General features: G+C 52.9%; 1 protein-coding gene and 1 long non-coding RNA gene across 2 annotated transcripts in view, besides 1 other annotated feature; both read right to left on the bottom strand.

Annotated features, from left to right (window-relative positions):
• DLGAP2 (DLG associated protein 2) overlaps positions 1 to 14,075 on the bottom strand; it is a 970,849-nt gene that overhangs the window by 337,789 nt on the left and 618,985 nt on the right. The gene's annotated exons all lie outside the window — the stretch shown is intronic.
• Positions 9,514 to 10,055: an enhancer, noted in NCBI's record as "H3K4me1 hESC enhancer chr8:1308799-1309340 (GRCh37/hg19 assembly coordinates)". NCBI's record gives its function as "activates a minimal SCP1, AML or CMV promoter by ChIP-STARR-seq in naive H9 embryonic stem cells {active_cell/tissue: H9 hESC(naive)}" and the evidence as "EXISTENCE:reporter gene assay evidence [ECO:0000049][PMID:30033119]".
• The window catches only part of LOC124901869 (uncharacterized), a 36,226-nt gene continuing 35,183 nt past the window's right edge, over positions 13,033 to 14,075 (bottom strand). Inside the window, exon 2 of the long non-coding RNA XR_007060782.1 lies at positions 13,033 to 13,619. This is a non-coding gene — a long non-coding RNA (uncharacterized LOC124901869). The remainder of the gene's footprint in view (positions 13,620 to 14,075) is intronic.

Raw genomic sequence — 14,075 nt, 5'->3', positions numbered from 1 at the left:
GTGATCCCAGGAACAGGTGCCTTCAGATGGCTTCTAATCCTCATTGGGTGTGACAGCTCCCCGTGCTCCCTGTAGCAACCAGAGGGTGATAAAAGACAGCTTTTCTTCTTTTGTAAAATTGACTTTTCAGCATTTTATTTTAAGCAAATGAAACACAAAAGAAATGTGACTTGTTACTTAAGTATAGATGCTTTAAATAGAAGATAAAGGAGAGTGGAATGCCCCAACCTATTTTAAGTTCATTTTCCACCTCACTATTTTGAAAGCATGAATGGTAAGATAAACAGTGAGAAGTCCTGGAGGGTATTAAGGTGGTGACGAGATGGTGCAACCCCACCTGCCCAGGGAGAGCAAGGGTTTGGCTGGGATGAATCACGCCGTGTGACTGCTGCCGACCTTCGGGGAACTGCTGAGAACTTGTCAGAGCCAGGCACCGTGGGACATCACCTCCATTTTCTACCTGCCTTCAGAGTCGGCCACTCTGAAGGGCAGTGCTGAGGACACTGAGAGAGAACTCTCAGGGAAAGACTAGGGCTCAATTCGAGGAAGACCTTTCCAATTGTCATAAATATCCGAAGACCTGTGGGAGAAAAGCTGCCTAGGGACAGTGTTAGTCACCCCGAGAAATGGCCAATGGGGGCTGGACCGCAACTGGGGAGGATGCTGCTGAACTCAGGTCTGAGGGCAACTGCGTGAAGAAGCCCTAAGGCCCCCATCACTCTGAGATTTCAGGGCTCATACGTTCTCTGCACACTCGGCACCTCCTCAGGCTGCAGCGGCTGCCTCTGCACGCCCCAGGACGGCGTCTTCCCGCCAGGCTTGTGCCTTGCGCCTCGCGCCTCCAAGTCTCTACTGTGGATCCGTGAGAGCATCAGAGAACCACGGCATTTTCCTACATCACTGCTGTGTGCTTTGCACAGATGCAAAATGTTAAAAGAGTTCAGAGGCTGCAGGACTTGGCAGGGCTAGGGTAAGTTGGAAAAGCCTTCCTAAGAGCCTAGATATTTGGACAGGGCGTGCAAGGTGGGTGTGATTTAGATGTGAGAATGGAGTTTCATGCATTCCACCTAAAGGAATGTAGCAGAATGGGACGTCCTGTAAGATACAGGCACATCGAGAATTTACACTGGAGGCCAAATGAAGTAGACAGGGAAACAAGGGGAAGGAATTCTTGGTGCAAAACCAACTGTGAGGGGCTGAAATGTGGCCCCCAGATTCCTAACCCCCAGGACCTCAGAATGTGACTGCATGTGAAGATAGGGTTTCATCAAACAGGACTGGGGTCCTTACAGGAAGGGGTGATCACGACACAGACACACACACAGAGGGATGACCATGTGAGGTCACAGCAAGAAGACAGCGTCTGCCAGCCAAGGGGAGGCCTTGGGAATCCAGCCCTGCCCACATCTCCATCTGGGACTTCTGGCTTCCAGGACTATGAGAGAATAAATGTTGTTGAAACCACACTATCTGTGGAATTTTGTAATGACAGCCCCAGCAGAGGAACACCAGCCTTGAAAGCTTTGATCAAAAGCTGTCCATTATTTTATAACATAGAACTGTGGAATTCCAATGTGGATTTAGGGTTCTGCATTCTCTGCTGTGCTGTAAGCTCCAAGCAGGAAGGGGCTGTGTGTGCGGGAACTAGCTCAGTGTCTACCTGTGTCCCACTCCGGGCACCGGGCGTCACGTGCACAGAGTTGAGGGTGACACCTAGTATGTGCGGAGGACCTGCGTTTGGCACAGGAACGGACGATCAGTTGTGGATGCTGTATTACAGGAAGACGCCACTTAGAGCCATCGCAGTCAATTTGACCTTTGTGCTGGGAGAGCATCAGGAATAGATGGTTCCAGGCTAAGTAAAAGTTTACCTACATGCTGCAGAGATGCCTTGGATTTCAAGCCAGCACGGGCTGCTGCGGCTGTATTTCTGGAGTCAGCAGATAATGAATTATTAGATCACCAGCTAATGAGGTAACGCTGTAGCATACCACATGCTTTATGCCAAAAATAAAAAATTGATATACGGCACCAGACGCACAAAAAGACTCATAAACATCTTAGTCATCTTGAAAGATTTGCCTTTATCCATTTTTAATTATTAATCCTCCCCAAATAGGCCCATGTTTAATAAATGGAGGTCAGGCTTGATGGTATATTCTATAAATATTTACTGTGATAGACCTCATTGTATTTCTACATTTTTCAGAGCACAGCATAGGGGAGAGCTTTGCCCACAGCTCCCCGTGTGGCCACACAACTTGCACACATACATACATGCACACACACATACCCACACACATGCACATATGCACATGCACCCATACACATATATACACACGCATGCACACACACATGCATGCACACACACAGCTATGCACATGCACATACACATAATACACACACATACACACATACCTGCACACACGCACACACATGCTCACACATACATGCATACACACCTGCACACAGATATATGGACACACACGTACACACACGTGCACATACACACACACATGCACACGTATGTGCACTACAAATACATACACATGCATACACGCACATGCCTACATACATACAATCAGCACTCAACACAACAGCAACACAGGAGGCCGCCGTGATAGGTATGCACGTTAAAATGTGAAAGCAGAGTCAATCCCCAAAATAAAACCAATCAGTCCCCATCTGGTGACTGAGGAGGGAGGTGAATCCTGACGGCAAAGCCTGTGCTGGCTCCATGCCAGGCACTAAAGATCATCCGGAACAACTGAGCTTGTTCGGGTATCTGACTTCTCTGCCCCCTCTTCTCTCTCTTACCAGTTTATATATGATTTATGTCTAGATAAAGGCTAAATAACTTGCTATTTGTGATACAATCTTGATATTTAATCCAAATACACCGTAAATACACAACAGAGTGATTTTCTGAACTGCAGTGAAGGACGTGCTGCAATAGGGAACCGTTTTAAATGAGACACGCATTAAACACTCTTTGTTACAAAACTAAGACGTAGCATAGTTTCCATGCATAGCAACCACAATTACCTTCCAAAATGCTTTTTCTTAGCAACATGTGAGCTATGCCTTTCCTGATGTTTTAGAATGGTGAAAGCAGCTCTAGAGGGGAGGTGACAACGATCCCACTGTCCTCTGCGGCCCCCAGCAGGGTGTGCCTGGACTTTTGGAATTCCGCCTGCTCCACAGGCACGTGCTGGGCTTGGGAGTTATGAATGAGGCTCTGAGCCACAACGCCCATTAGTGTGTGCTAATTTTTGTGTGCTAGTTGGTCTGTGGATTTTCCCAGAGAGACAGGAACAAGTTTTCAGCAGAATCTTAAAAGGTTTGAGATGAAAAGGAGAATCCAAAAGAATCATCTTCAGGCATCAATTCCTAGAGAAAGCTTTTGAGTTTGCATGTTCTGTGTTATGTCACCTATGGTGACTCCTAGGAAGTCACCAGGCTATGGTCAAAATTCTTGCATTTTGATTCAATGGCCAACCCCCCATTCCTAAGATAAACTGTTTCTCAAAATATGATCTGCAGTTCATAAGTCATATAGTCACCGGGGTCTGTGGTCATGTGCATGTGTGTTGGAAAGGTTGCTACGTAAATGTTAACAGTGTTATTTACCGGGGTCTGTGGTCACATGTGTGTGTGTTGGAGGGGTTGCCATGTAAATGTTAACACTGTTATTTACCGGGGTCTGTGGTCACGTGCGTGTGTGTTGGAGGGGTTGCCATGTAAATGCTAACAGTGTTATTTACCGGGGTCTGTGGTCACATGCATGTGTGTTGGAGGGGTTGCCATGTAAATGTTAACACTGTTATTAGCATTTCTTGCATCTCTCAGTAACTCACTTCACCACAGACCCCCTTATTACATTTTTCTTATTCTGAGCAAACGTGCTGCGGGGACCCGAGACAGAAGGTCCAGCCTCCTGGATGATGCCTGCTCTCCATCCTTGTGGGGTGCAGGCATCTCTTTCCACTTCCCAGCTCACCTCCTGTCCTGCCCCTTTCTTCTGCACCAAGTGAATTCTGCCACCTCTCCACGCCATTGGGTCCCCTGCTCTGTTCCTGTGCCCCTGTACACTGCTCTGCCGGGGTGCCTCTGCCCCATCCCTCCCCTCACACCTCTGCCTTGTCCCAGGTCAGCCGCTGAACATCCCCAAAGCCTCAGCTCAGGAAGACCAACTCCAGGAAGGCCTCCTGGGCTGCCCCCCACTTCAGATGGGGACCCACGTCTGTTCTTGCTGCCCTGAGGACACAGTGCGCTTGGTTCTCTCACAACATGCCCTTGCAGAATGACAGTTCTCTGTCCCTGGGTGTGCAGCCCCTCCAGCCTGGGAATTCCTAAACAACAGGAGACATGTCTCATGCACCTGTATCTCCAGTCCTTAGCACTGGCTATAGTACAAATGGGTGATAAATGTTTACTTTATGAAGGAATAAACAAATGCATGAATATTGACAGTACAGAAAGCAGCACATTAGAATTCATTGTTTAAATGGAGGGAAAAGGAGAGAAAGAAAAAGAAAATAGGAAACTTTTCAACTTGTAAAAACTTGATGAATCCCCAGCACAGTGTCTGGCCTTCGGGTGCACAGTGACATAAGGCACATCTGCCCCTGCCCGGCTGCGGTTCCTGGGATGGCACCTCTGTGGCAGAAGCCAGGCTGGACGGTGCCGTGAGGGGAGGTTTCCCAAGGATGATGGACATCTGAGCAATTTCTCCACAAAGAGACGTGAAGCTACAGGCATGTGGCTTCTGCCATCACCTGTTTTTCCTCCTGGGCAGATGTTTATTCTGGGGAGTTAGAGAGAGGTGACACTGTGTATTTACGTCTGAGCTGCGGCCCCCCAGGGCCCCGACATGAGACATGGCACAGCTCTGGTCCCCCACGTGCCTTCTCACAGGCTCGCCCTCCGCGTGGGCCTCAGAACTCCCAGGAAATTTAGAAATTTAGTGACATTGGCTGCAGCGGCTCCATCTACTGGGACCCGAGATTGATTTTGCTTGGCTCGGCACACTTGGATGCTTGGTTTTGGAGACAGGTCAATGCCATTAATAGCTAGAGGACATCCAGGTAGCAGCTTTTAGTGTGGCAAGAATTATTTTATCTCGGCGAGCAAACTTCCCGAAGCCATCCACATTCTGCCGGACCTGCCATCCTGGACCTGGGAGGGCACCTGCTCAGTAACTGCAGTTTCTTCTTCATTAGGAGTGAGCCCTGTGGATTCCAGTGAGCTCCATCTGCCCCTTCCCCCTCCACGGTTGGAGAGGAGAGCCAGTGGAGAGGCAGGAATCCAAGCATCTCCCTGCTCCCCTGTGCCTGTTTCCCAGCATCTGGGGACCCTGGGCCACCTGCAGCCTCGGTGCGGAGATCCCAGGCTCAGCACCTGAGCCACACATCCCCGGAGCTTGAGGCTCTGGGAGAGTGAGGGGTCCCTAAGGAGTGTCTCCCAGGTGCAGGTGTGGACCGGGTAGAAGTGACCACCCAGGTCCTAACACACCCCTCAAATGCCCCGAACCACAGATGGCTTTGTCTTGACTGCAGGCCCCTGACCTCCCGCTTCGTAGAGCATCTACTTTATAAAAACGTGTCCTTGCGGGGTTTCTCTATGGTCATCTCAGTCGTAAATCTTCTGCCAGGCTCTTCCTAGCTGTGCGTGTCTCTGAGGGCCCGGTTCCCATCCCTGTGAACACAGGCATGGAGGGAGTGGGGCCCTGTGCCCAGTCTCTGAGGAAGGTGGGAGCTTCGCTGCTGTTCCAAGTTTTAAAACTACCCCCTGCCATGAAGATAAGAGAATTTGCTCCTCCTCTGGAAAAGGCTGATCAGCAAACGCAAAGCCCTGGGAGCCTCCCCAACTCCGACGTAAATGCACAGCGTCCCCTCTCTCTCCAGCTCTGAGAAGCCCTCTCGTCCTTCGTTCAAGGGGAGCTGAGCTCTGGCTGAGTTCGGGCCTGTCTCCCCCACGCAAGCTTTAATTGGAGTCCTCCTTGCCAGTCGAGCTTTGCCCAGAGCAATTTTCACTTTGACACAATGCATCTGTGTCACTGACAGAACCACTGAAGAGGCGGCACGCCGGCCCCTGCTGCGAAGATGAGGGAATGGAGTTGAGAGACGCTTCCCGCCAGCCCCAGTCCTCCAGGGAAAATGTGTCTGCTTCGCTGCACCCCCCCCGCCCTTCCCATGACCGGCGCCCGCCTCCCTCTCGCAGCGGTGCCCTTTCACCAGAATCTGGGGTTCCTGAAGGTCGGGGTGGAGGAGGCCCCCAGGCCTGCCCACAGCAGGAGACCACTCCTCATTCCGCACGTGGCAGCCCTTGACGATCACGAGAACGATCCTATTCTGAGTCTGGGTTCTCTCACCCCAGCTCTGTCCCCACCTGGAGCACAGGGCACCCCTCCTCTGGGGGCAGCTGGCTTCAAGGCCACCTGAGGCAAAACCCACAGCTGGGATCCAGCCCGGGGGCACCGTCCGCCCCTCCCCTCTGTACAGGGCTCCTCGATGCAACATGTCATCCAGTGGGAGGAGGCACGGGAGACGGGCTCAGGAGGGAAGGTGGGTGGGGCCGAGAGCTGTGTTATCCCAAAGGTGGGGTCTGCACCTGAAGGCGGCAGGAGTGAGGAAGACCCCCATATGGGGTTCCATGAGGATCAGTGAGGGGTACCACCTGGTGCACCTGACAGAGGATGAGGGGCTGGGGAGGCATCCTGACTCCTACTGTGCCATGGCCAATAGCCTGGCTGTCACTGTCAGGGAGGGACCCCCCAGCCGGCACAACCTCACGGGGAGCAGGTGGTCAGAAGAGGCCTCCCAGAGACGTGGCAGGCCAAGGCCAGGCCTGCCACGGGCAGCCGGGCTCTGTCACACCCGCAGCCTCTGAGGCCTGGCTCAGTCGCCCGTGGTTCCCACACAGCAAGGATGCATCTCAGCCACCAGAGAGGAGCTGCCAGAGCGTCGGGTTCTCTTTCCTTCTCTCCAGCTTCTCTCCATGTCCTGACTGTTGTCCCCACCCAGAAGCAAGGTCAAGAGGGCCAGAAGACAGAGGAGATTTGCAGGTCCAGATCCCAATGTCGCCTGACAGGGCTGTGAGAAGACAGCCAGGACCAAGTTCCTCTGGAAATGCCGGGGACCCCACCATCCCTGCAGGGAAACGTGCCCTGAGCTCCTGCCAGGATGGCTTTTTGTGGACAAGGCCATCACTGGGTGGTGGAGGAAACGCGTGTGGGGGACGGAGGGCTTACAGGTGCCTCTGTCCTCCTGACCTGCGACGTGGAGGCAGGAGAGGCAGCCGCAGGTGTGCCACGGACGTGGGACCGGCGAGGCAGAGGCAGGAGAGACAGCCGCAAGCATGCCACGGGCGTGGGACCTGCAAGGCAGAGGCAGGAGAGACAGCCGCAAGCATGCCATGGGCGTGGGGGCGCTTTCGGGATGCTGCCTGTGCTGCCCGTACCTTCGTGTGAATCTCCATTTCTTTCCCAGAAAGGAAGGCTGGTGCCCGCAGCCTGGCAGCCAGCTCCACCTGCAGATGGTTTTGTGTGGCCCACATGGTATTTTCTTTTTATGAATTACTTGCCAACTTCTAAAAATGAGAAGACTTCAGACAGAAACCAGATTTTTGGCTTCTCTTTAAAGCTTAGAGGATCTGGTGGCTCAGGCCTGTGTCCGGCGGTGGGGCTGAGATGTGGCTTCCTCCATGGCTGCCCCAGGCCCTCAAATCCCCTGAGGGTGCTGCCCCGAAGTGAAGAAAGCCAGCAGGACAGACAGACAGACGGGAAAGACGAGAAGAGAAGGGAAAAGACAAGAGAAACTAGCCACTGACTTTGAAACGTTCAACAAAATTCACCAGGAGAAGCCCAGAAGCCCAGGCGGTCGCGCCTCCTAATCCCAAATGCATGGGGTCAAAGAAGTACAGAAATGGACGCTGTTGCTTGACACTAAGGCTTTGGCTCTTGAATTAAAAAGCAAATGGGCGGAAAATAGATTTAGGTTATTTCGGGGCTCAGCACTGCCTGCCACTGTAAAATGCTTTCAGAGAAAGCTGAGGACGGTGCTGGTGTTAAGGGGAGAGATGGCCTCGCGTCAGAATTTTCCATGGTGACTGTGGCCGTGAGAGATCAGGGCTAGACCATGGTTAGTGTGGAAGCCAAGGCTCACGGGGACCACACAGTGTAAGGGGAAATGAGGACACTGACGGGTGTCCCCGCCGGAGGCTGCACATGGACCACGCCAGCCCTTACCGAGCCTCCCGAGGGCGCTGTGACGGCGGGACTGCTGTCCGCATGGGACATGGGAAGATGGAAGATCAAGAAGGGGCAACCTACCTGAGGTCAAGAGCTGTAAGTGGCAGGACCTGGGTCCAAACCCAGGCCACATCCCTAAGACCCAGGATTCGACCCGTTTACCTGCCTGGCCCTGAGTGGAGCTGCCACTGTGGGGAACACCAGGTCCCACCCACAGTTCCCGAGGACTCGCTGCCACCTCGGCCGCCCCTGCCCTCCCCTGCCAGTGCCGAGACGGCGCTGCGGATGCCTCAGAAGGCTCAGATCACAGAATTGGGTTTGAAGTACGCTAACTCCCCGAGTCCCAGCTGTACCGCTCTCCTTGAATTCTCTTTCATTCTCCTAAACTTTAACCCCAGACACCGAACTTGCCACCGTAGCACGGAAGGGGCCATTCCACCTCTGCAGCCAGGAGGTGCCAGAGAGGTGTCCTGCAGCCAGGAGGTGTCCACCTCTTCCCAGGAGACCTGCCAGGCTGGGGCAGCACAGTTAGTGCCCAGGAGAGCACAGAACCAGCGGAAATGAAACCGTGGGAGCCGGGCTCAGGCCTGCACTAGAAGACGCCGCGAGCACGTTTCTCTTAGAATTTGACTCACGGAGGTGGATTCTTGGAGGGTTTTCTCCTCCACTGGATTTTTGTACAAATTTCCGACTCACTCGCAGCTTCCTCATAGCTCAGTTACCGTGTAGGGCCTTGCGCGAAGGTGCTTGACATCAATTTAGTAAATGGAGAAAGCTAATAGTCAGACCCAGGGGGGCTCCCATGCTCCGTTTAAACGATGCAGTGAGTTAAGAATGTATCAAGCTCAGTAACATATTTAACATCATTTTTCTAAAACAATCACGAGCAAGAAGAAGCTGAAGAAATGTTTATGCAATTCTCAGCACCAGACGGCTACCTACAGAGCCGTGTGTTACCTTAGTTCTGAAGATAAGGGGAAAAACTACAGAGATTAGAGTAATTTTTAAAGGCAACACATAGATTTCTGTTTGTTTTTATTTGTATAAAGCACTAAGAAAGATAAATCCAAGTCCTATAAATAGCATCTGAAGTAGAGACTGTGGAGGGATAAAAGTCTACTCTAAAGTTGTGTGTTGGGGAGAATGTGATCCATGAAATGTCGACTGGAGAAGCAGGATCTCTGCTGTCCTTGGGGAGTCACCTTGCCGCAGGGACCATGGTCAGGGCTACACATTTGCAGTTGGTGGTTCGACCCCTGCAGACACTGTTGCAAATCTGGTGTGGTGAGGCCCCAGGCAGTCACCACCAAGGACCATCTCAGCTCGTCTGCACCATCACTGTGAACAGCCTGGGGCTGGTCCCGGCCACTGCCCACACAAAGCTTAAAAGGAAAGGATCACAGAAGAGTTTCCTTCCCCTTCTCAGGATGAAATTTTAAGCCTGGAAACTTTTTCTGTAATCACCCACTTCCCTTTTAGACACTCGGCACTGTGCTTCTGAAACACGTGAGCGATGAGAGGCGAGAAACCGTGTTCACGTGTCCGGTGGGGCCAGAGCATTCCCGGGTCTCTGTCTGGATCTCACCGTCGTGTGCAGACGGCCCACGCCCTGCCTCAGGGCGACTGTTTCCTCGTGCCTCTGGGCAACCGTGTCAGGCCACACAAGAGACAGACCATCATGATCAAACAGGAGTTTGGAAGCTACCGGAAGAACGAGGCCACCGATCTCCATGGTGGGGGCGGTGTGGTGTGTGTTTCTCGGTCTCTGAGAGCTGCAGTTGCCTTCAGGATGTGGGGGGTGTGCATATGTCCCTGGCTGAGGTGGATTTCCTGTGGATTCCCTGTGTGCTTTTCGGGGTACCTGCCAGCCCAGCTCACCCAGATGGCACAGCCGTGGTCCCGTGCTGCCCCTCGAGGGCAAACAACCAACCCTGAGCCACGTCCGCATGCAGTGGGGCAGGGTCCCTTCAATTTGCTTCCTGGAGTGGGCAAAACACTCAGGGCACCTGGAGGACACCCATGCACTCTACTCCAACACAGGCTCAGACAGACGCAGCGCAAAGCCTCTAGCTGCACCCTGGGCTGGTGATTTGTTGAAAGCACCGTCCTGGAGAAGCCCCGCCCCGGAGAAGCCCCGCCCCGGAGAAGCCCCGCCCCAGAGAAGCCCCGCCCCGGAGAAGCCCCGCCCCGGAGAAGCCCCGCCCCGGAGAAGCCCCGCCCCGGAAAAGCCCCGCCCCTGAGCACACCCGGGAAGCAGCAGGAGTCGCTAACCCTTATGCACCTGCACCAAGGTCACACCCAGAAGGCAAGTCCCTGCAACCCGCTCTCCTCCGAACCCCACACAAAGGGCTTCGGTGGATTTCCTCAGTGGACGGGGATGAAGAGGCGGAAAGTGGCTCGCGATGGTCCTGTTCTTCTTTGGATTCTTTGCTGAAACACCGGCGATGCTGAGGTGTGCTGGCAGGACCCGTGGACTCGTCCACGAACTCAGGACGGTCCTGTTTAAGTCACTCTCCAATTGCCTTAGCAAAATTCCAAGAGATTTTCTTTAACAAATTTATGGACAGAAAAACACTGTATCTTCATCTAGCAAGGCTTATAGAGTGACAGAAACCCTAAGGAGAAGTCCATGAAGCCCATTTAGTTTCCAAATCACAACAAGGGAATACTAATGCCCTCCCTCCAATATCCACAGTCCCACGCTGCGCAGGGAACGCGCGGGTTTTATAAGAGCTGAGGCCAGCGTCTACCGTGGGATTGGGAGGGGATGGCTATCTGCCAGCGCCACCGCATCACCCACAGGGACAGCCGCCGACAGCATCAGCCTCTGCACCAGGGACTCCACAGCACACACTCCCGCTGAGCGGCCTGGGCTTCAGCCCAAATCCCTCCAGGCCTTCGGGTGGTCCCCACGAACCAGCTTGCCCCTTCGCCAGGAGGCTAGGCCAGTGGCAGCTCTGCACCACCCGTGTCCCCACGCCCACGTTCCTGGGCTCCAACCTGTCCTTACTTCCTGTTTTAAAAAAGAAAACTGTCCTCCTCTGAAGCCCAGGGCAGCACAGGCTCAATTTCCTTTCTCCTAAACTGCGCCGGAGTGCCTGGCCTCTCTTTGGGTGAAGGCGTCTAACCAGGGCGCATGGACCGCCTGAGGACAGGGTCTTCCCAGCAGGGAGGGCAGCGAGGAGAAGGGGATGCGTCCCGGGAGGTGGATTTTCCTGTTGAGTTTACCAGGAGGTGTCTGTCCTCCAGGGTGTCCTGGGCCCTCCTTTCTATGGTGCAGGGATACGTGGCCTAGAGGGGTGGTTCTCCACGTGCAGTCCCCGGACTGATGACCTCAGCAACCCCTGGGAATTTGCTAGAAATGCAGAATCGTGGGCCCCACCCCGACCTGCCGAATCCGAAGCTCTGGGGGCAGGGTCCTGCACTCTGTGTTTCAGCAGCTTCTGATGTGCAGGGAAGTTTCAGACCCGCTGGCCCAGAGGTTCTGCTGCTGACCAGCTAGACTCTCTCCCTTTGGGGCCTCTGCACCGAGAATTCCCGAGTCTCTGGACCTCACCCTCGTGTGGCAGACAGCCCACGCCCTGCCGCAGGGCTCCTGATTTCTGCCTCTGATGACAAACGTGGCCTGATCAGGCAGTTCGGTTCCAGGCCGCCCAGCCCCGCTTAGCCCACCGCAGAAGAATAGGCCAGGGTTGCCCCTGTCTGCGCAGCATGGTTCCAGATTACACAGTGGGGATAACACGTTTCTCCTAAAGACACTTTGCCCATCAGAAGCCTTCTTCACCACGGCCAACCCTCAACACCAACATCAAAGAGCCGTCCAAACGCTGCTTTCACTGCAGGCCTCTTTCTTGCACTAAGTTTTATTGAATAGATTTGAGGTCTCCAGCGTGATGTTAAGGAATGCAAAGAGGGAAATGGTGACTATGGTGAAGTGGGTGAACGCAGCCCTTGCCTCACATGGTTACGTCTGTGAGTGTGGAGAAACAGCTAAAATCTACCTCCTTAACCAAAACCCCGATCAATACATTTTTAGCCCCAGGCCTGGGTCCCACACCAGATCTCTTGAGTTGTCCATCCTGCCTTTTTCCCGTAATCTACGATTGAACCTGACATATTTGCAACAAAAGCTGCTGATCGGAAATGAAGACGTTAAGATAATACTTCAGTGAAATTACTTAGATTCTCACCTCATTCCACTCACCAAACCTTTCGCAGCCCCTTCTCCTTTGTGCGTCCACATCCTTTTGAATAACTTTTCACCTACAAAGCTACTTCAGAAAAGGATGCACCTGGATTTTCTCTTTTATTTTACAATCTTCACTTCTACCCAACTTCCTCCTGGGAGGGGGCTGCGTTCTGACGCTGCCTGTGCCCCCACTCCTGGAGCACCTGCCAGCTGTTCCCCTCCTTCCTCCATTTGGTTTGTCAAGGAGTCCTGAGACAGCTCTCTAAGTCGATTGGGTCTGTCCTAAATTTCAGCAGTAAAGGAGCCAGAAACACCCAGGTGCTCACAGTGTGGGGAGCCAACATCCATGTCAGTTAGATGCAGGTGCAGGGGCAGCTGCTCCTCCCCATGGGGACCTGCCCCCTCCCTGTGCTCTGAGGCCCACAGCCCTGAGCCCCAGCGTATGTCTGAAGAGCACTGCATGGCACTACGAGGCTGCTCAGAACCACAGCAGAACACAGCGCTTGCTGGAGGCTTCTGGTGTGGTGCTGCGTATCGCAGCAAGGCTGACGTCTCATGTTATGAGACTTAAAATCCGTCAGAGACAAAAAGGTTTATTTTAAAAAATCTTTATTTTGAAAATGTGTAAGAGTTTATAAAGCGTGCTTTCCAGGGAACTGTAAGAATATTTTCTGCACTAAAATACCAGGGCACCTGTGAGGCGGGAAATATTTGCTGTCTCACTACTACAGATGGTATTAATATTCTCACTCACCAGCAATAGGAATAGCAGTCACTGTACATTAGACGACTCCTGATAATTGCAGTGACTGTTTTAATAATAAAAAGCTACAAAAAAAAAAAAAAGATTTGGCACCAACAGATGCATCAGGAAGGGGTTGTATCTGGTTTAGGTGAACAGGGGTGTCAGTGTGATGAGTCTGGCCATCCACTAGCCAGTCTGTGGCATCAGCCAGAGAAGCACTGCCCTGAAGGACACCCCTTCTCCGAGGACCGGCACACTCTGCAGTCTGAGAGCTGTGAGTGTCTGCACCAAGGCCACCTGAGCACCCTTGCGACTGAGATCCCCAGCGGCTCGTTTCCTGGTCCACAGACTGGTGAAGAGCACACGTCTTCTGCAGTAGACACTGTATATTAGTTTTGGGTGGCTCATCTGCTTTAATGTCATTGGATCAAAGTCTGCAAACAGAACAGACGTTAACAGGGAGGATGATTTCTCCCGCCAGATTCTGAGCTCTGAGCCCTACCCCGCTGTGTGTTCCAGGTTATGAGCACAGCCTCAGCCCTCGCAGCTGCTCGCGGGTTTGCCGAATGAACGTGCGCTGTAGACACGGGCACTGTAGACACAAGGGCACACCCTGAAGACGAGGTGTTTCCTCATTGTGCGGGCTTGGCTGTTATCCTTACTGTAGTGTTACATCGTGGCAAACGGCCCTTTGCTTATACTCACCTCATTCACTGACTGTCATGGTTTCACCATATCCCACTGTCTGTTTTTCATCCATACTTGGCCTTGCCTGTTACCCTTTACTGTAGGGTTACATTGTGGCGAATGATCGTTTGCTCATACTCACCTCATTCACCAACCGTCACGGTTTCACCATATCCCACTGTCTGTTTTCCCCTCGTACTTTG

The sequence above is a fragment of the Homo sapiens genome, chromosome 8 (genome assembly GCF_000001405.40).
Source record: "Homo sapiens chromosome 8, GRCh38.p14 Primary Assembly".
Taxonomy (NCBI): domain Eukaryota; kingdom Metazoa; phylum Chordata; class Mammalia; order Primates; family Hominidae; genus Homo; species Homo sapiens.
Note: the sequence above shows the minus strand (reverse complement) of the source record. Positions and strands in the feature narration are given on the sequence as shown.